At 36.9% G+C, this 21,992-nt stretch overlaps 1 protein-coding gene across 1 annotated transcript in view, besides 2 other annotated features; it reads right to left on the minus strand.

The window, feature by feature from the left end:
- Window positions 1-21,992, minus strand: part of PPP3R1 (protein phosphatase 3 regulatory subunit B, alpha) — a 73,676-nt gene that overhangs the window by 11,895 nt on the left and 39,789 nt on the right. The gene's annotated exons all lie outside the window — the stretch shown is intronic.
- Window positions 2,090-4,108: an enhancer, noted in NCBI's record as "VISTA enhancer hs2040". NCBI's record gives its function as "enhancer in: nose[3/5]" and the evidence as "EXISTENCE:transgenic organism evidence [ECO:0001131][PMID:17130149]".
- Window positions 14,817-15,317: an enhancer, noted in NCBI's record as "H3K4me1 hESC enhancer chr2:68432700-68433200 (GRCh37/hg19 assembly coordinates)". NCBI's record gives its function as "activates a minimal SCP1, AML or CMV promoter by ChIP-STARR-seq in primed H9 embryonic stem cells {active_cell/tissue: H9 hESC(primed)}" and the evidence as "EXISTENCE:reporter gene assay evidence [ECO:0000049][PMID:30033119]".

Below are 21,992 nucleotides of genomic sequence, written 5' to 3' on the forward strand. Positions count from 1 at the left end.
TATGCTCCCCCTCACCCCCACAACTATTAATAAAGGTAGGCATACATTGGCTCACTACTGAATTTTAGAAAAGTAGTTTCTACTAAAGCAAATAACTTCAACCTGCACCATACCTTAAAAGAAGCACAAGTCCCCGTTTAAGGCTCATAAGTGATGGGCTATGGTGTTTCATTTGTACAGTTAATTTGTACTTGCATTTTTAAGATCATTACTGTTTATGTTAATACTCTGTTACAAACAAAGCTGCATAATTTGAATGGTCTACTCTATCCATATTTTTCCCAGATGTGATTTCATGGCATCTGAGGTTTTCTAGAACACATGTATCAGAAATGCTGTGATGAAAAATTTATGTAAATACTGCTGCAAACACCAAAATACACATACAGTCAGTCATGAGTCACTTAACGATGGGGTTACACTGAGAAACACATCATTAGATTTCATCATTGTATGAACATCAGAGTGTACTTACACAAACCTATGTGGGACAGCCTACTACACACCCAGGCTATATGGTCCAGCCTATTGCTCCTAGGCTACAAAATCTGTACAGCATCTTACTGTACTGAATACTGTAGGCAATTGTAACACAATGCTAAATATCTGTGTATCTGAACATATCTAAACATTCAAAAGGTACAGTAAAAGTATAGTATGAAAATTTTACTTAAATGGTACACCTGTATAGGGCATTTACCATGAAAGGAGCTTGTGGGACAGAAGCTGCTCTGGGTGAGCCAGTGAGTGACTGGTGAGTTAATGTAAGGGCCTAGGATATTACTGTAGACTTTATAAACTCTGTACACTTAGGCTACACTAATGATGCATTACTCAATGCAACTCGTTGTTAAGTGACACATGACTGTACATGTATTTTCAGCTCCATTATAATCTTACGGAACCACTGTGTATATGTGGTCAGCCACTGACCAAAAATTATTATGTAGCACATTAATGTATATAAATAATCTGATAAAAAAGATCATATAAGCACTTCATAAGCACATCAACTACACAAGCATTTTATCCCTCTATTAAAGAGTATTCCTTCTTTAATGGAATATGTGACATAACTGCAAACTGTTCAAATAAACCTTATTTCCCCATTTTCTATCTATAAAATGACACACCCTTACTCTTGAAAGAGAAAAAATATAATGAAAGTCCTACAAATGCTTTTCGCTTATTTATTTATATGTCTACTCCACCTCAGGGCAGAGTCCATGACTTTTTCATTGGTGCTCTGAGCATCACATATAACAGGTGCTTAATTATGGTTTTAATAATGTTTTAAGTATTAATAAGTATTTCAAATGTAAAACTTATTGATTAAAATTCCATCAGTATTTAAAACTACTAGCTAACCAGGTACCAATCAGCAAACCATTCAGAACAGTGTCTCAAAGTTCATAGATTTTGCTGAAGAGCTACCCTCTCCACGCTTGCCTTAATTTTTTACACATATACCAAGGATTAGTTAATTATTTTCTTCTTCCAATCTTGAGTTTTGCCTTAGTTTACAACCATAGACTAGGAAAGGTGACAGGGAATTTAAACATAACAGATCACAAAGGTGATCTATTGTGAGTAGATAAGAAAAGATAATGTCTCCACAAACTTTAAGTGGACAAATCAGGATCATTTCTTCTAGGCTGTATGATTAATGGGAAGAGGAAAAGCAGAAATGTAGTATGATAATATTTATGCAAACTATTTATTAGTCAATTTATTGAAGTGGGGACATTAATTATAGTTTAGAAAGTTGTTTATCAAGAAACTGAAATTTAGGCACTTAAAGGATTGTTTTAGCTACTCAGAAAACTCCTCCAATCAAGAAGATAGCATTTCAGTCTTAATAAATGAATAAAAAATATTAAGAATACTTGAAAATCATAATCATAAATCAAATAAATATATGTGGTTCAATCCATCTTCTTTACATTGCCAACAGTAATCTTTCTAAAAGGCAAATTCAGCCAAACGGCTAGCTCCTGTGCTTTACATTTTCTAGTGGCTTTCTAATACAAAAAGTCTAAAGTCCTCGGCAATACTTAGCCTCAAATTTAAATTTCCATCTTATCTCTTTCCCCATTTCCTTTTCTTTGGCTACAATGCTCTTGGCACATCTCTGCTAAAGTATAGATTTTATACCTCCATTTCCTTATAAACCTCCTGCTGGAATGGCCTTGCCTGAATTCTCCATTTATGAGACACCTATCAATTTTTCTCTGATAAAAGAAAGGGGTTACTAATGATTTATCTTATAGTTGTATCATTATCTCACTCCCTGGCAAAGGCCCTTAGAAGGAGTAGTTAAATTTTATTTACTTGTTTTAATATCTTGTGAAACATTATAAAGTAGTTGATATCTGCTCTGGATGAGTAGTCAAAACTTTCCTCAAAGGCAAAGCAATGTGCCAGTGATCACATTTTACCTTGACAATAAATGACTTCTTAAAAAGCCCCTTTAATATGACTAGGAGGGAACAAGCTCTATCTAATCTTTCCATTCATCATCATTCCCACATACCCCATGTAGCTAAAACTGATCTTGAGCTAAGAAGCCAGTGCAGCATGTATGGGGGCAGTTATCTTTTCTCCAACCACTCATTTATTTCCTCATCTCCCTCCCCTCCTTTCAGCTACGATTACGATGATGAGTAAGATGGACTAAATACTCAGTATTTACAATCTAGTCGAGGCTGAGCAACTAGAGGAATCCATACCTAAATATCCAGAATATTTTTAAATGGCCAGCTTGGAAAGCAAAGCCAGGAAAAAATTTTAAAGCCAAGATCTACGAAAGTCAGCTTTCAAGAACAAATGGTAAATATAGTTATTTTAGGTATCAAACAAAATGATTTCTTTGGTCATTACTGGCACCTGAGGGGCAGTTATTTAAGCACTTCCACTTGCCAGCAGTGTTGCTGTGCTACAGTAGGATATTAGAGTATGAAACAGAGTTTTAATTCTTGAAATATCGGCATTAGCAATCACCTACAAATTAGGAACAGATCTCTAAAGCAGATCAAACCCATCTTGTTAGCACCATTAAATTTAGTTTCAGTATATTTATAGAAGATCTGCACTTAGTACCAGTTAAATACTGAAGAACAAATTCTAACTTTTGGCGCCAATTTTCATTAAATATATTTTTTTCCTGCTGCTTAGGATCATATTCCCTTAAAAGAGATGGACAAGGAAAAACAAACCTCACCCTCTTGACTCATCTTGTGACTCAGAGATACTCTTTTTCATATGTTTTGCCAGGTTGAAACTCATGTTATTTTTCTACTTTTTGGAAGGACAACTTTGGGAGGAATGCCTTAACAGTTGAAAATGCCTACATATTCAATTGACATTATATTAGACAAAATATTAAAATAATCTTCAAGTCATATACTGTTATCTAAAATTTAAGCAAGGTGGCAAAAACTTAGATATTTTAGTCAGAGTTTATAAAACATAAAAAGTTACTAATAAGGAATTGGTAGATTGTTTATACAGAAAACAGACTGTTGAGACTTAACCTCGATCAATTGCACTCTGACGGTTCTCACGGATAAATGTAAAATTCAGATGGTAACTCATTTTAAAAAGTGACTTCAAGAATCTTGTTAATGTTACTACATGAAAGTATTAAGAACTTGCTTTTAGAGAGCTCATGTTGCTACACTAAATTTTAGTATTTTCAACTGGACATATTAATACTGCAGCAATATAATATTAATAGAAATAGAAGGTTACATATTCATTCATCACACTTTCAGATGATGAAACATAAATCATCTCCCTTATATATTTCTCTCATTTAGAAAAAAAGAATACAAGAAATTTCAAAATAGTAAAGAAAAGACCACAGTGTTCTGGTTCTGAAAGCATTGCTATTAATACATACACACCAAGCTGCTATTCAACTGTTGGGATTAAAAGTAAAGACAACTTAAAGCAGTGTGAACTGTTTTAGGTGATGCTAAAATTTTTCAGAATGAAGAGAAAATGAAATAAACAGAATGGTAGAAAAACAAAACTTTCCTCAAATTTTAGCCAATTCCCAATAATTGTATAGTAGAAAAAAGCAACAAGACTATTGCTTCATCAGGAAATTCTTTTAATAGCTACTTTACAAATAACTTATTACCTATTAATACACCAACTGATTTAAAACAAAGCAAGTATCTCTAAATTCTAACAATAATATTTTGAAAGAAACAACTATATGTAATGTGGGATCCAGGAGAGAATCCTGGAAAAGAAAAAGAACACTCTCCAAGTTTCACCATTTTTTTCACTCATGTATGTGGTTTAATATTCTTTAGCCAATGTTAATTTCTTGATGTTGATAACTGTACTATAATTCTGTGAGATGTTAACATCCCCACTTGGCTGAGGGGTATTCAAGAACTCTATTATCTTTGTAACTTTTTTGTAATTTCTCCTGAGTCTTGGCTCCAATTTGTGACAACTCTTGATTGATTGTCTTTCATGACCTTGAAACTTATGATCCAGTATTTTGTAAAACTTCCCTCAGTTTGAGCTTCCTGTTTTCTCATGATTAGAATGCATTTAGGCATTTGGGGCAAGAATACCACAGAAATGATATTGTGTCCTCCAGTACACTGTATCAAGGGGCTCATGACATCAATATGTCTTATTACTAGTGATGTTAACTTTGATCACTTGGCCAAGGTGGTGGCTGCCAGATTTCTCCACTATAAATCTACCATCTTTTCCTTTGCAGTTAAAAAAATATCCTGGGAGGAGAGGGGGTAGGGAATACTTTGAGACTGTGCAAATACTCTTTTCTCCTCAAACTCTGACCTAATTTTGGCATCCATCAGCAGGTCCTGTCTGCCACATTTATTACCGTGGTATTTGCCTAATGAAAAATTTCTTTTCCCGTCTTTCTTTCTACATTAATTGGGATGCTCCTGTAAAAAAAATACAAAACCAAAACCAGTGCCTTCTCCACCATTTATTTATTAAAATACTTACATCAGCATGGACTCATGAGTATTTTAGTACATGAATTAAAATCCAATACTATCATTATTTTGTTAGTCAAATTGTTCCAGCTTTATTAGGTCTTTATTAGATCTTCAGGTTGGCTCCTATGCGGCCTTTCCAACAACCTTTTTTTTTTTTTTAAGTACTTCCTTAATTTCTGGCACCATAATATGTTCAAGGCTTATCCCAACTATACGTACTATTTCTAAGACACGATTCTCCAATCTCTTTTGTACAGCAAGAAATTTAGAACCATATTATAGGATGAGAACTATTAGAAACTACTACTCCAATACAGGATCCCGGAATCTCTATCTTAGAGGTGTTTTGGAAAAAAGCCATCAGACATGGCAAAATTATCTATGGAAAAGCTTGTACTGAATAACTCCTGTGAAGATCACAAAACAAAAAACCTCATAGTGTTATCAACAGAAGTTACTGAGAAGTTTTTCAACATAAAGATTAACTTAAAAGCTTTACAGTTTTTTATAAAGACACCTCCTACGAAGGTAAATGGCTGTATTTTCATGTGACCCCAATGAGAAGTAAAATCCACCAGGGGGCGCAGCAGATAAAACCTTCAAAAAGCTCCAAAAAAATTTTCCAGTTTTATAATGATCTTGTTGTGTACCAAGTGGAAGTTTAATATTTATATTCTGCACAGTTTGACTACCAAATGAACAAAGCAAAGAGAGCACCCTATCAGTATTATGACAGACTTGAAATAGTATATTATGAAATGAACACAGGTCATACATGTATGTGTTGTACCTTTTCTTAAATACATGAAAAACTCATCCACTTAAAAGGTCTACATTCGAGAAATATAATCTTAGACTGCAAAAAGTAATGAGTCTTTTTGGAGCTCCTAGATTTCTTACATACTTTAAAGATTATCATGCAATTGTCAAATATGCAAAAACTCGGTATCACCACCAACAAAAGAAGTATCACATTTTAATAAAAATGCTATTTTTTTTTTTAATGGAGACTCACTCTGTCACCCAGGCAGGAGGGCAGTGGTGTGATCTCAGCTCACTGTAACCTCTGCCTCCTGGGTTCAAGCAATTCTTCTGCCTCAGCCTCCGGGGTAGCTGAGATTACAGGCGTGCGCCACCACGCCCTGCTGATTTTTGTATTTTTGGTAGAGACGGAATTTCACCATGTTGGCCAGTCTGGTCTTGAACTTCTGACCTCAGGTGATCTGCCCACCTTGGCCTCCCAAAGTGCTGGAATTACAGGTGTGAGGCACAACGCCTGGCCTAAAAATGCTAAAATAATTTAAGCCAACTTTGAGGAATAACTACCTTCAAATGATGCATTATTAAGTATATGGTTATATAAGTTTTGACAAATGCATATACCTATGGAAGCATCACTACCATCAAGATAAAAGAACATTCCATGACCCCTAAACACTCCCTTGAGCCCTTTTGCAGTCAATCACCCTTTTCTTACCACCCTAGGCAACCACTGTTCTTTCTATAACTAAATTCTATCTAGAATTTCATGTCTACAGGATCATACAGTAGGTACTCGCGTCTATCTTCTTTTACTCACCAAGTTTTTGACACTAATCCATGTTGTTGCATGTGTCAGTTTGTTCCTTTATACTGCAGAGCAGTATAGTCCATTATATGGATATACCACAATTTGTTTATGCATTCATCTGTTGACAGACATTCCTGTAAAGCTACTATAAATATTAATGTGTATTTCTGTAAACAAACGTTTTCCTGGAATTGCTGGGTCACAGGGTTAAGTTTTCAGAAACTGTCAGTTTTCCAAAGTAATGTACCATTTTACTCTCCCATCAGCAATATATGATTATTTCAGTAGCTCCACATCCTTGCTAACAAGTGGTATTGCCTATTTTTTCATATATTTTTATTAGTGAATTGTGCTTTTAAAAAAAAAGCGTTATGTAAAAGATTTGTGAAATTCTCTATATACTGATCCAAGTCCTTTGTTAGGTATTTTCTAATAGTATTTTCTCCCAGTCTGTGAGCTTGCCTTTTCATAGGTGTATTTTTAAAACCAAAACCTTTCAATATTAATGAAATAGAATTTTTTCCCTTTATGATTCCTGTTTTGTGTGTACTAAAAGTCTTTACCCATCCTTGATCATGAAGATTTTCTCCTGTTTTCTTCTAGATGTTCCATTGTTTTATGTTTAAATCTATGACCTACGTTATATGCCTTTTAAATATATGATACATATAGAAAAATAATGACTTTTTATTCCATACAGAAATACAGCTGTTTTGTTGAAAAGGCTCCCTTTACAACGGCACCTTTGGCAAAAAAAAAAAAAAAAAAAAAAAAAAAGCATATATATGTAAACATATATATGTAAATATATATGTAAACATGTTTACATATACAATACACATATATGTAAATATATACATACATGTATATATAATATATATTTACATATATGTGCATACATATATACATTTTACATATATGTATACACATATGTACATACATATGTATACATACATATGTGTATGCATGTATGTGTATACACATGTATACATGTATACATATATGTATATACATATGTACATATATGTACATGTATATGCATATATATGTACATATATGTACATGTATATGCATATATATGTATATATATGTGTATGTATATGCATATATACGTATATATGCGTGTGTATATATGTATATACATATATACGTATATATGCGTATGTATATATATGTATATACATATATATGTGTATACATATATGAATGAATGAGTCTGGACCCTCTATTCTGTTTCATTGATTTTAGTCTACCTTATGCCAGTACCACAGTGTTATGTTTTATGGTAAATCTTTAAATCGAGGAGCTGTACTTTTACTTTGTTCTGTTTTAAAATGCTGACTCTTCTAAGACCCGTGCATTTCCACATGGAATTAACCATCAGTTTGCTAAATTTTTTAAAATCTTGTTAAGAATTTGATTGGGAAGGTCTTGAGGAAGCTATAGATAAGTCTGAGTAGAACTGACATCTTTGTAACAAGTCTTCTAATCTATGAATGCGGTATATATCTTCATTTGTGTAGGTCTTTTTAAGTTCCAATAATTTTCTGTAATTTGGAGTACAGATTTTACACATATCTGGTTAAACTTATACCTGAGTATTTTACAATTTTACTCTATTATGCATGGTACTTGTCCATTTCATCTTTATTTGTATTATTATTTTTTTAAGATGGAGTTTTGCTCTGTCACCCAGGCTGGAGTGCAGTGGCACGATCTTGGCTCACTGCCACCTCCGCCTCCTGGGTTCACACCATTCTCCTGCCTCAGCCTCCCGAGTAGCTAAGAATACAGGCAAGTGCCACCATGCCCAGCTAATTTTTTTATTTTTAGTAGAGATGGGATTTCACCATGTTGGCCAGGATGGTCTTGATCTCCTGACCTCGTGATCTGCCCACCTCAGTCTCCCAAAGTGCTAGGATTACAGGCGTGAGCCACCGCTCCCAGACCCATTTCATTTTTAATTGTTCTTTACTATTATATAGAAATTACACTGTTTGGGTATATTATCCTTGTATCCTACAATCTTGCCAAATTCACATCAGTCCTAGTAACTTAACATTTGCTATATATATAAAACCATGTCATCTGGGAATAAAAACAATTTTACTCCTTCCTTTCCAATCTCAAGTCTTTTTCTTTTTCTTGATCATGTTGTGACTAGGACTTCAAATACAACGTTGATTAGAAGTGGTCAAGAGTGGAAAATCTTGTTTTCTTCCCCAATCTTAGGTAGAAACGATTCAGCCTTTCATCATGAGATATGAGTATGAACAAAGTAAAGGTTTTTTAGTAGATGCCCAATATCAGGCTGAGGAAGTTCCCTTCTATTCCCAATTCGCTAATATCATGAATAGATATTACATTTTGCCAAACACTTTGCTGTAATTACTGAGAAGATGTTTTTCTCTTTTGTCAAAATAGTAAATTACATTAATTTTTGAATGTTAAAATTGCATTACTGGTATAAAAATCCCCTTGGTTGTGTTTTATCATCCTTTTTACACACCACCGAATTTGACTTGCAAATACTAAATGATTTTTTGCACATATATTCTCAAATAATGTTGGTTTATATTCCATATTGATTTTATTATAATGTCTTTGGTATTACCATCAAGGTAATGCTAGCTTCTATTTTCTAAGAGTCTAGATAAGACTGTGTTTCTTTCTTTCTTTTCATTAAATTTGATAGAATTTACCAGTAAAGCCGTTTGACCTTACTATTTTCTTTGTAGAAAGATTTTGAAATATGAATTCAATTTTATTAACTAATAAAAGGCTATTAAGATTTACTATTTCCTCTTATTGTCAGTTTTAGTAATTTGTTTTGCAAGGAATTTGTCCATTTCATCTAAGGTATGGAACTTATTGGCATAAAATTGCTTCTAACATTCTTTTGTTATCCTTTTAACATCTGTAAGGATCTGCAATGATTTCAGTGCTTTCATTACTGATACTGTGATTGTGTTTTGTTTTCTAGATTGCTCCTTCAAAATATAAATACCACATACCACTGACTTCCTCCTTATATAAAAAATGACTAAAAATGACCAACACACTAGAACTCATTCACCCAATGGCGTCCAAAGATGTCACAAAAGAAGCTGAACATTTATAACAATCCTAAAAATACATTCTTAGAATTATTTTCAGTGCTCAGTGAGCTTCACGAGAAAATCTAGCATAGAAAAGCCATGTAACGTAAGCAGTCACAAGAAACCTTGAAGATGACAAACTCAAGATGAGGAAACAAACCCAAGGAGTGAGGTAAGCTGCTCGATGTTATAAAGCTTGATGACAAAGTGAGGTGACTGGGATTTCTTGAAATACTTTCTGATCTAATTTCTTTTCCTATGTTAGTTCCATCTGAAGAGTCAGCAAGGAGCCTTAGGCATCATTTCTATTCCCCCAACCTGCATTTCTGGGCTAAATGTGGAGAAAAGAGAATAAGAGTCTTCCCACTCTAGATTGATAAAAATCAGACCATGTTTTACTAAGACGTCCTTTCTAACCCTTCTCTCAACATGTATATTACCGTTTTTCCTACTGAAGGCCTGTGTATTATTGTTTTTCTCCTTTTGGTTTATCCACATTATGGTTCAAATCAATACAGGCAGTAAGTTAATGAAAAGCATGTATTCATAATATGATACAAATATACCTTCAAGTATTCTGTTATTAATAACCCTGCTTAAAGATATACTGTTTATTTTTTTAAACTAAAATGTATACTGCTTAGTTCAATGATACATCTTATTCAAAAGATCTGGCTCCTAAAGCATTTCTTTTTTCTATATATTAAGTCCAATCCCATCCCATTACATCACATTTTCCAGATCTTCCTCTTATTTTATCTACTGTTCCTATGTGATGTTGCATTTGAATGTTAGCTGCACCTTTCTTTAGCTTTGTACCACACTCCACTCCCCACCCTATTTTCCTTTAAAAAAAATTATATTTCCACAAAAGAATGCATATTTAAGAGTCTTCTTTTACTTTCAGCCTCCATTATTCAAGACTTACTTACACGTATGGCTCCTCCAAAGCTTAATGTGGTTTACTGCCAAGAATGTCATACTGCATCCCCCAGTTTCTTTTTTTTCTCTCGTTGACTTTTATCTTAACATTAAAAAATTCCACCACATAATTCATATAACGGCTTTTACTTTCTTCTTGAAGACATTCTTCACAGACAACTCTGCCATTTCGTTCTAATTTGAACCAACTGCTTTCTAGGCCTATGGCATAGTTGTTATCCTGAGATTTTCACTGGTGTGTTAGTTAGGAATTCCGTTTCTGGGGTCTCATTTCATCCTCTTTCTTGAACTTCTATTTCATTTTGCTAGGTACATATTCAAGAACTCGTTTAAGTTAACCTTCCCAAGTCCTTAAATTTCTGAAAATGTCTTTTTTTGTTCTCACATTTGAGTGATCATTTGGCTGTTATCAAATTCTGGATTAGAAACTCCGAACTTTGAATGTATTACTCCACTGCCTTCTACCAACTACTGCTGCTGTGAAGAAGTCCAATGCCAGCGGACTCCTATTCTTTTTAGGTAACAACTTCTATGTCTGGAGGCTTTTAGGGTTTTTTTACTCTTGAAATTTTAAAATTACAAAAGTTGAAACTAAACATAGATGTTCTTTCATCTAATCTTGGCAATCAGAATGCTTTTAAACAAAAGATTCAATTTTTCAAGAAAGAGAAATTTCTCCTTTTATTTCACTGATTATTTCCCCTTCTATGTTATCTAATACAGCTCCTGAAATTTCTTTCAGTCAGACGCTATCACTCTGTGTTCTCCAAATCATTCTTTCCTTGCACATTTTTCCATATCTTTTATCTTTTGCTCTAACATTCTGAGAAAGATTCAAGAAGTTTTATTTTTGTTACGCAGATAGCTAGACTTTTTCACTAGCTAAAGTAACTGATTTCTTCAAATTACTCAAATTTGTGCTAGATAACGAGATTACTATATGTCATGAACCTCATTACCGAAACTACAAATTTCTTAGTGCTGCCACAATACCAAAATTTGACAGTGTGGATAAAGCAAATAAAGCCAGTCCTTCCTTTTCTTTTTTCGTTTTTTGTTGTTGTTGTTGTTGTTGTTGTTGTTGTTTTTTGAGATGGAGTCTCGCTCTGTCTCCCACGCTGGAGTGCAATGACACAGACTCGGCTCACTGCAACCTCTGCCTCCTGGGTTCAAGTGATTCTCCTGTCTCAGCCTTCCAAGTAGCTGGGATTACGGGCACCCACAACCATGCCCGGCTAATTTTTCTATTTTTAGTAGAGACGAGGTTTCACCATGTTGGCCAGGCTGGTCACGAACTCCCGACCTCAGGTGATCCACTTGCCTCGGTCTCCCAAAGTGCTGGGATTACAGGTGTAAGCCACTGTGCCCGGCCAGTCCTTTACTTGAGACTACTTGTTTAAAAACTTGAAATATTTAATATATACTAGAGAGTTCAGGGAATTTTTTTTTTTTTTTTTTTTTTTTTTTTGAGACGGAGTCTCGCTCTGTCGCCCAGGCTGGAGTGCAGTGGCATGATCTCAGCTCACTGCAAGCTTCGCCTCCCAGGTTCACGCCATTCTCCTGCCTCAGCCTCCCGAGTAGCTGGGACTACAGGCACCCACCACCATACCCGGCTAATTTGAATCCAGGGATTATTAAAAACCGTCTGTAACACTAAAACAAGGTAACCCAAACTATTTAAGTTCATGTACTATACTTAAGAAAATCCTTTGTTCTTCTCGTCATTACTTAATTCTAATGCTTTACTGAGAGCAAGCAAAGCATAAGTAATTCTCAGTGACTAGGTGAATTAAATCAGAATTGAGATCACTAAATTACCAAGTAAATGATAAATGACAGCTGGTAAACTGTCTAAGAAACATTAACTGTATAATAAATTTATGAAGATGTTAATGTAAAGCAACAACTGCACAAGTCAATTTCAAAATTAACGGCATACAATGTTTTAACAATAAATGGCATTTTAGGGCCAGGCACAGTGGCTCACACCTGTAATCCCACCACTTTGGGAGGCCAAGGCGGGTGGATCACCTGAGGTCAGGAGTTCAACACCAGCCTGACCAACATGGTGAAACCTTGTCTCTAATACAAATACAAAATTAACCAGGTGTGGTGGCACATGCTTGTAATCCCAGCTACTCGGGAGGCTGAGGCAGGTGAATAGCTTGAACCCAGGAGGCAGAGGTTGCAGTGTGCCGAGATCGCGCCATTGCACTCCAGCCTGGGCAACAAGAAAGAAACTCTGTCTCAAAAAAAAAAAAATGCTGAAATGAAAGAGGAAATCAAATTAACTACAGATAACCTTTTTCTCTGAAAACACTGTTTTCAAAACAGCAAACCTCCCTGAGACGAATGTGATTAAGAGCAGACATTAACAGCAAAGTTATTATCCTTAAACTTTCACATCACCTGTAAATACTCAAACCAGAAACAAAACTGCCTGAATGTGAAACTGTTTACTAAAAACAGAAACAGCGTTCTAACGGCTAGAAGGGTTTCTACTGGCAGTTCATTATGCAAAAGGAGAGGTTCCTTCAGAGTCTGCCAAGCTCTTCTTAGGGGACCTTCTAACAAAAGAGAGATGAGACATCTTTTTAGATAAAAGATTTAATCTTTCACCTACATTTAGTCTACAAAACAGCCCTTGTGTTTACTAATTTTATCTAAACCACTCAGAATTACACTGGCTTTATCAAAAATTAGCTGAATCTGATTTTCCACTCTTACTTTCAATTGTGCCCCAATCTAGTCTTCTGCTTAAATTATCTAAGGTAGTATCTTGCACTCAGTCACTTTTCCAAAGTTATCATGCCAAGTTAGAACTAAGGCTTCCACTTTGAGCAAATCACCTCAACAGAGTATACATTTCCTAGTCCAGAGAGGTTAGCCAACAGACAGAAATAAAGTCACAACGGCCTAGAATAAATTCAATAAAAATCCAACACTGAATTGAATGACATATACATATATATACACACACACACTATATATATATATTCTGATATATATATATCAGAATACCTATGTCTTAGACAAATCTAGTCTTGCCTAGAATTATTCATGTAGACAATTATAACATTAATTTTGTAAGATTTACTGAAGACAGACTATATAATACTATGATTAAAAATATTGACTATGAAACATGATGGCCTAAGATCAAATCATGGCTTTGTTACTTCACCTGCTGTGTGACTTAAGCCAGTTATTTAAAGTCTCTTTGCTTCTATTTCCTCATCTGTACAATGGGGAAAGTAATTGTGCCCCTCTCCTGAGGCTAATATGAGAATTAAAAGAATTAATGTATGTAAAACGCTTAGAATAATTCCTGGGACATGGTAAGCACCATACCATTATGGATTGTTATTATTTATGAAAACAAATGGGGTGACTAGTAACTACCAGGTTTTCCCAAAGGTATACAGCCTTTAAAATTATCCAACGAGTTGTCTATGTAATCCAGCTCTGAGCTCTTGCTAGCTAATTCAGTCAACCAATTATTTACTCAGCATCTGCTTTATGCCAGGCATTATGCTTCCACTGTCAAAGTCCCAATTCTTTTACTGGTGAAAATTAGTTTGAACAGCCACTTATTATTAAAGTTTACAGTCTGCATGCCATTCTGAATTGTAATTAAATAATTATTTCTTATTGATTTTATTCTTGGTTACTTCCTTCTCCCCTTTTCCATTTATTTAAAAAGCCCCAACTTTTCAATAATAGAAAATTTCAAACACACACAAAGTTTGAAAAAAGAGTATAATGAATTCTATATGCTCATCATCCAGTTTCAACCATTAAACATAAGAAAAATGTTATCTATATCCCACCCCAGTTATTTCAGAGCAAATCCCAGACATATCATTTCCTTGTAAGTAATCAGTATTATCTTTTTTTTTTTTTTTTTTTGAAACGGCGTTTCACTCGTTGCCCAGGCTGCAGTGCAATGGCGCAATCTCAGCTCACTGCCACCTCTGCCTCCCGGGTTCAAGCAATTCTCCTGCCTCAGCCTCCCAAGTAGCTGGGTTTACAGGCATGCACCACCATGCCCTGCTAACTTTTTACATTTTTAGTAGAGATGGGGTTTCACCATGTCAGTCAGGCTGGTCTCGAACTCAGGTGATCCACCCACCTCGGCCTCCCAAAGTGCTGGGATTACAGGGGTGAGCCACTGCACCTAGCCTAAACAGTATTATCTCTAAAAGATAAAAACTCTTTAACACATCATAACATTATCACACCTAAAAATTAATTATTTGGTATCAAATAATCAGTGTTCAAATTTCCCCAAAGGTCACAAGTGATTTTGTAGATTTTTTAAATCAATCCAGATGTGGCAATTAGACAATGTGTTGATAAAATGAAGATGACCTTGATAGCAGTGTCCGTGGAGTTATAGCAGCCGAAAGCCAGATTGCAGTAGACCAAGAAATTAGCAGAAATAAGGAAATAAAGGTGATTGTGTAGGCTCTTCTTTTTTTTTTGAGAGGGGGTTTCGCTCTTGTTGCCCAGGCTGGAGTGCAATGGCGCGATCTCGGCTCACAGCAACCTCCACCTCCTGGGTTCAAGCCATTCTCCTGCCTCAGCCACCTGAGTAGCTGGGATTTAGGGATGCGCCACCACACTCGGCTAATTTTGTATTTTTAGTAGAGACGGGGTTTCTCCATGTTGGTCAGGCTGGTCTTGAACTCCGGACCTCAGGTGATCCGCCCGCCTCGGCCTCCCAAAGTGCTGGGATTACAGGCGTGAGCCACCGCGCCCGGCGGCTCTTAAAAGGTTCAAATACGTGAAAGAACAGAGAGAAACTTCCAGGTACATGCAGGATCAAAATCAAAGAGAAGTCGACTGTGTTATAAACTGAAGAGAGGAAGAAGCTGAAGACATATGGGAAAATAAAGAGAAACTTAACAAAGTAAGATCCTAGAGATGAGATAGCACAAGATCAAAAGCACAGGGGAAGGGCTAACCATGAAAAAGGGAGGCCTGATACTGAAGGAAAGGAGGTTAAGATTAAATGTGAGATCAGACAAGTTTCTCTTGTGGCAGGCAGAGGTGAGGGGGGAGGCCAACACTTAAATCATCCCCAAGTTTTCTCAGTCCCTAGTTTTCTCAAGCATTAGGAGCAAAATCATTTATTAAAACCAGGTAATGCAGGCAAGTTTGGGTAGAATGCTGATGATGTCGGTAACATATAAGGAGACTGAGAGAAATAACTACACAGGTCAAAGAATTAATCCACATTCTAATCCTACACAGCTTTCAAATGTCACCCCTTCCAGGAGGCTTTTCTTAATTTCCTTAACCAAAGGTCATTTTTCCTCCTTGGAACCTGTGTTTTTATTTCTCGTAATAGTTTACCCATACTGTAATAATCTATGTATTTCCCTTTTTCCCAGTGGCTAATCCATAAGTACTTGGTAGGTGCTTACTTATCTGTGTGGCACAGGAAAGAATACAGTATGTTACAGCATATAATTTAGAGTCCTGTTAAACTTTTTTAAAAAGTAGCACAACTACACTGAAAGAAGAAAAGCTGAGAGGACACTGTGGCTGGGGCAATTAAATAAGGACAAACAGAGAACACTGGCTTGAGCTAGGTATGGAAGGGATGAGAAGGCATGACAGGAATTAACCTAAATAGGGAAGTATAAATAGTGAAGTGTGTCAAGGACTGATTTCAACAATCTTATAATATGAAAGCACTATTCACAGATAAAACTAAGCTCTTCCAATAGTAAAGAGGTTTTGGGAAAAAAAAAAGCAAAAAAAAAAAATTACTACAATGTGTGGGTGAACAAAAAAAGTGGCAGTTTTAATGTGGAGAAGGTCATTTTTGGGAAATTGATCCAAATAGTCAGGAAAATATGATAAAAAAAAAAAAAAAGCATGTAAGATTCTAGTGAACCAAGCAGGAAAAAAGAACTACATAACAGACAAAATAATTTAGATAGATTCACAGCTGGCTGAACAATGACAAGTATAGATCTTTAGTGACAAGGCTCAACAGTTTAATCAAAGTATTGATTAAAGTGATAAGAAAGAAGACTTACTACTAAGTTCTGAGGATTAACTGAAAAGGACAGCTTTAACAGTGTATGAAATCTTATTTCAAATGCTTACCACACAAATAAAAAACCATGACTTTTGCCATCCCAGATGTACGTAAGGAACATCTATCTGCCTTTTGCCCTAGGACATTTTTCTCTGGCCCTCAGTCCCAGATTTAAAGAATGAGCAGCAGAAAAGAATCTGTGAACTATGGTTCCCTCAAGACTTCTGTTCTTTGACTGAGAAATAAAAAATTAATGTCCTAGTACCTCATCCCCATTGGAGTTTATGCTAGCCACAATCAATCCCAACTCTAATGCAGCCTAAAGCCTAATTACAGACCTCTGCACCTCTTTCTTTCCACTATCAAGTGGAGGAATAATTCACGTCACATGCTCAAACTAAATGGTAAACAGAAGCTCAATTTTGAGTGGAACTCTTTCAATTCTAGAGAAACTATAAAACAGACTCATTGCAGGGCGCAGTGGCTCACGCCTGCAATGCCAGCACTTTAGGAGGCCGAGGCAGGCGGCTCGCCTGGGATCAGGAGTTCGAGACAAGCCTTGCCAACATGGTGAAACCTCATCTCTACTAAAAATACAAAAATTAGCCAGGCGTGGTGGTGGGTGCCTGTAATCCCAGCTACTTGGGAGGCTGAGAGAGAACTGCTTAAACCCAGGAGGTGGAGGTTGCAGTGAGCCGAGACCACGCCATTGCACTCCAGCCTGGGCAACAAGAGCAAAACTGCTGTCTCAAAAAACGCCCGACTCACTGACTTTACCAGAGACAAGTATTATAGATCTACATAACACCCAAAGCACCAGTCTGTAACTTCTGTGTAGACCATATTCTGTAGATAAGTTAACTGTGCAGTAATGACTCAAATAATAGTTCTCAACTCCAGAAGCCCACTATAGTCTACAAGAGGGTTCAGTAAGCTTTTTTCTAAAAGGCCAGGTGGTAAATATTTTAGGCTTTGTTGACCATACGGTCTCTGTTGCAATTACTCAACTCTGCCACTGCAGCACAGAAAACAGAAAAATGGGCATGGCTATGTTCCAATGGCTATGTTTTATTAATAAAAACTGCTGGCAAGCAGCAGTTTACCAATATTCCTGGTCTAGAGGCTAGTAATTAGGTCTAGTTTTGGTCAATTCTAACACTATTCTAGATGTAACATTTTATTTCATGTTTTAAAATAGAAACATACATGCCCTCATATGATCCTAATTATATTAAAAATTCATAAAAAGGTTGGGTACAGTGGCTCATGCCTGTAATCCCAGCACTCTGGGAGGCCAAGGAAGGTGGACTGTTTGAGGCCAGGAGTTCGAGACCAGCCTGATCAACATGTTTCTACTAAAAATACAAAATTAGCCAGGTGTGGTGGCGCTCACCTGTAATCCCAGCTTCTTGGGAGACTGAGACACAAGAATTGCTTGAACCTGGGAGGTGGAGGCTGCAGTGAGCCGAGATCATACCACTGCTCTCCAGCCTGGGTGACAAAGCAAGACTCTAAAAAAAAAATTTTTTTTTTTAATTTAAAAAAAATCATTAAAAAAAGTCTGGGAGGAAACAGCAAAATAAAATGTAAATAGTGATTGGGATGGAAAGATTATGGATAACTGGTCATAGGTATCACCATTTTTTTTTAAGTTTAAAAAACTGTGGAAGTTGGCCGGGCGCGGTGGCTCACACCTGTAATCCCAGCACTTTGGGAGGCCGAGGCGGGCGGATCACGAGGTCAGGAGATCGAGAACATCCCGGCTAAAACGGTGAAACCCCGTCTCTACTAAAAATACAAAAAAATTAGCCGGGCGTAGTGGCGGGCGCCTGTAGTCCCAGCTACTTGGGAGGCTGAGGCAGGAGAATGGCGTGAACCCGGGAGGCGGAGCTTGCAGTGAGCCGAGATCCCGCCACTGCACTCCAGCCTGGGCGACAGAGCGAGACTCTGTCTCAAAAAAAAAAAAAAAAAAAAAAAAAAAAAAAAACTGTGGAAGTTACAAAATAGCAGATAAATTAATAAATAAGTAATTTGGGTTTAGGTCAACTGCTATTAAAAAAAAATAAAGGCCAGGTACAGTAGCTCATGCCTGTAATCCCAATACTTTCAGAGGCTGAGGTGCATGGATTGTTTGAGCCCAGAAGTTTGAGACAAGCCTGGTAACATAATAAAACCCGGACTCTACAAAAAAATGTTTAAAAAACTTAGCCAGGAGTGGTGGTACATGCCTGTGGTCCCAGCTACTCCAGAGGCTGAGGTAGGAGAATCGCTTGAGCCCCAGTGAGCCAGGCTGCACCGAACCATGGTAATGCTACTGCACTCCAGCCTGGGCAACAGAGGCCAACTTTGCCTCCCTCTGTCGAGTTTTAAACTCCCTCTATCCAAGTTTGTAAGACACAACAACAACAAAAAAGCCCCAACAAAAACAGCTCAAGGTACTTATTAATACCTGAGAGTTGAAGGAGAATGAAGTCAGTCAAATAAAGAGCTGACCAAAGACCACTCTACCCAAACTCATAAACAAGCAAAGGTGGTAATAGGAATGAAAGAAATTGACAAGTGTTTTGGGGGAAAAAAAAGGAGATTGCTGAAACATAATGAGCAATGGGGAAAGTGGTCTTAACAATACAAAACAGAAGTGACACCTCATCTCAAGGTAAGATGTCTCCTCAAGCAAGGCAAGCCCAGCCTCATGAAACAGGGGCTGAAGAGGCTATGTCTGCTTGCAAGGAAGGTTCAGAATGGTTGTGGCAGTTCCAGAACCTCATATCTTAATCTATTGGCCTCTATTCCAATTCTTACAATCTCCTCTTTCCCAACCATTGTCCTTTCACACAAAAGATCTTATTATTTCTCTCAATTAACATAAGCTCCCTGGGTCATCTTAACTGGTCCTTCATTCAAGAACTTCTAAGCATGTAATTTTCTTTAAGTTCTCCAATACAGCCAAAAGTAACCAGCCCATCCACACTCCTTATACTCCTCATTCTCCTCAGCAAATATTTGACAATAGCAATTTGGTCTACCAAAGTTCTGCCTTCAATAAGAACTTTATTTTACGCAACCATAAAATAAGTTAATGTTCCAATTTGTTCATGATAATGGGATCATTATTATCTTCAAATCCAACTAAGTCAGACAACCAATCTAGATTTCCATTACTTTGAAAGTGTGCAGACTACAGCATTCCTGGAATTATATTTTTCGAGGGTTCAACAGACAAAAAAATCTAACTCTAGGTAGTTGAAGCAAAGGTTGTTTTTCAATGTTAGAAATTGTTAGGAGGCTAAAAAATGAGCCTGGGTTGAACTTTTAGGAAAAATTCACAAAACCAAACTACAGAACGAGGCCATCAAAAAACATACAGTTTGGCCATCCCAAATCCAAAAATCCAAAATCCAAAATGTTCTGAAATATGAAACTTTTTGAGTGTTGACATGGCATGCAAAAGAAATGTTTTTTGGAGCATTTTGGATTTCAAATTTTTAGATTTGGGATGCTCAGTCAGTATATATAATGCAAATACAGGCATACCTCAGAGACATTTTAAGTTTGCTTCCAGACCACCACAATAAAGTGAATAAAGCGAACTACATGAATTTTTTTGTTTTCCAGTGCATATAAAAGTTATATTTACGTATTACTGTTGTCTACAAAGTGTGCAATAACATTATGCCTAAAAAACAACACATATACCTTAATTTAAAAATACTCCATTGCGGCTGGGCGCGGTGGCTCACGCCTGTAATCCCAGCACTTTGGGAGGCCGAGACAGGCGGATCACAAGGTCAGGAGATTCAGACCATCCTGGCTAACACAATGAAACCCTGTCTCTACTAAAAATACAAAAAAATTAGCCCGGCGTGGTGGCGGGCGCCTGTAGTCCCAGCTACTCAGGAGGCTGAGGCAGGAGAATGGCGTGAACCTGGGAGGCGGAGCTTGCAGTGAGCCAAGATTGCGCCACTGCACTCCAGCCTGGGCGACTGAGCGAGACTCTGTCTCAAAAAAAAAAAAAAAAAAACTCTATTGCTAAAAAATGCTAAGGATCACCTGAGCTTTCAGTGAGTTGTAATTGTTCTGCTGTTGGTAGGTCTCACTTCAATGTTGATGGCCACGGACTGATCGGGGTGGCTGTGACAATTTCTTAAAATAAGACAGCAATAAAGTTTTGCCACATCATTTGACAATTCCTTTCATAAAAGATTTTTCTGTAACATGCAATGCTGTTTGACAGCATTTTGCCCACAGTAGAGCTTCTTTCAAAACTGGAGTCAATCTTTTCAAACCCTGCTGCTGCTTTATCAGCCAAGTTTATGGAATATTCTAAATTCTTTGTTGTCATTTCAGTAATGTTCACAGCATCTTCACTAGTGGACTCCATATCAAGAAACCACTTTCTTTACTCACCCATAAAAAGCAACTCCTTATCTGTTCAAGTTCTATCATGAGATTGCAGCAAATCAGCCACATTTTCAGGCTCCACTTCTAATTCTAGTTCTTTTGCTCCTTCTATCACATCTGCAGTTATTTCCACCATGAAAGCCCTGAACCCCTCAAAATCACTCATGAAGACTGGAATCAACTTCTTTCAAACTCTTGTTTATACTGATATTTTGACTTCCCATGAATCACGAATGTAATTAATGGCAAATCTATAATAGTGAATCCTTTCCCGGTTTGTTTGTTTTTTTTTGGAGACAAGGTCTCGCTCTGTCGCCCAGGCTGGAGCGCAGTAGTGTGATCTCTGCTCACTGCAACCTCCACCTCAGGAGTTCAAGCCATTCTTGTGCCTCAGCCACCTGAGTAGCTGGGATTACAGGCATGTGCCAGCATGCCTGGCTAATTTTCATATTTTTGGTAGAGATGGGGTTTCACTATGTTGGCCAGGCTGGTCTCAAATGCCTGACCTCAGGTGATCCACCTACCTTGGCCTCCGAAAGTGCTAGGATTCCAGGTGTGAGCCACTGTGCCTGGCCCTTTCCAGAACGTCTTTAATGTACTTTGCCCAGGTCCATCAGAGGAATGACTATCAAAGGCAGCTACAGCCTTACAAAATGTCTTTCTTAAGTAATAAGACTGGAAAGTCGAAATTACTCTTTACTCCATGGGCTACAGAATGGATGTCGTGTTAGCAGGCATGAAAACGTTACTCTCTATGTACATTTCCATCAAACCTCTTGAGTGACTACCTGCATTGTCAATGAGCAACAATATTTTGAAAGAAATCTTTTTTTCTGAGAGGTAAGTGTCAACAGTAGGCTTAAAATATTCAGTAAACCATGCTGTAAACAGCTGTGCTGCCATTTAGGCTTTGTTGTTCCATTTAGAGAGCACAGGAG

Source organism: Homo sapiens, chromosome 2 (genome assembly GCF_000001405.40).
Source record: "Homo sapiens chromosome 2, GRCh38.p14 Primary Assembly".
NCBI classification, from domain to species: domain Eukaryota; kingdom Metazoa; phylum Chordata; class Mammalia; order Primates; family Hominidae; genus Homo; species Homo sapiens.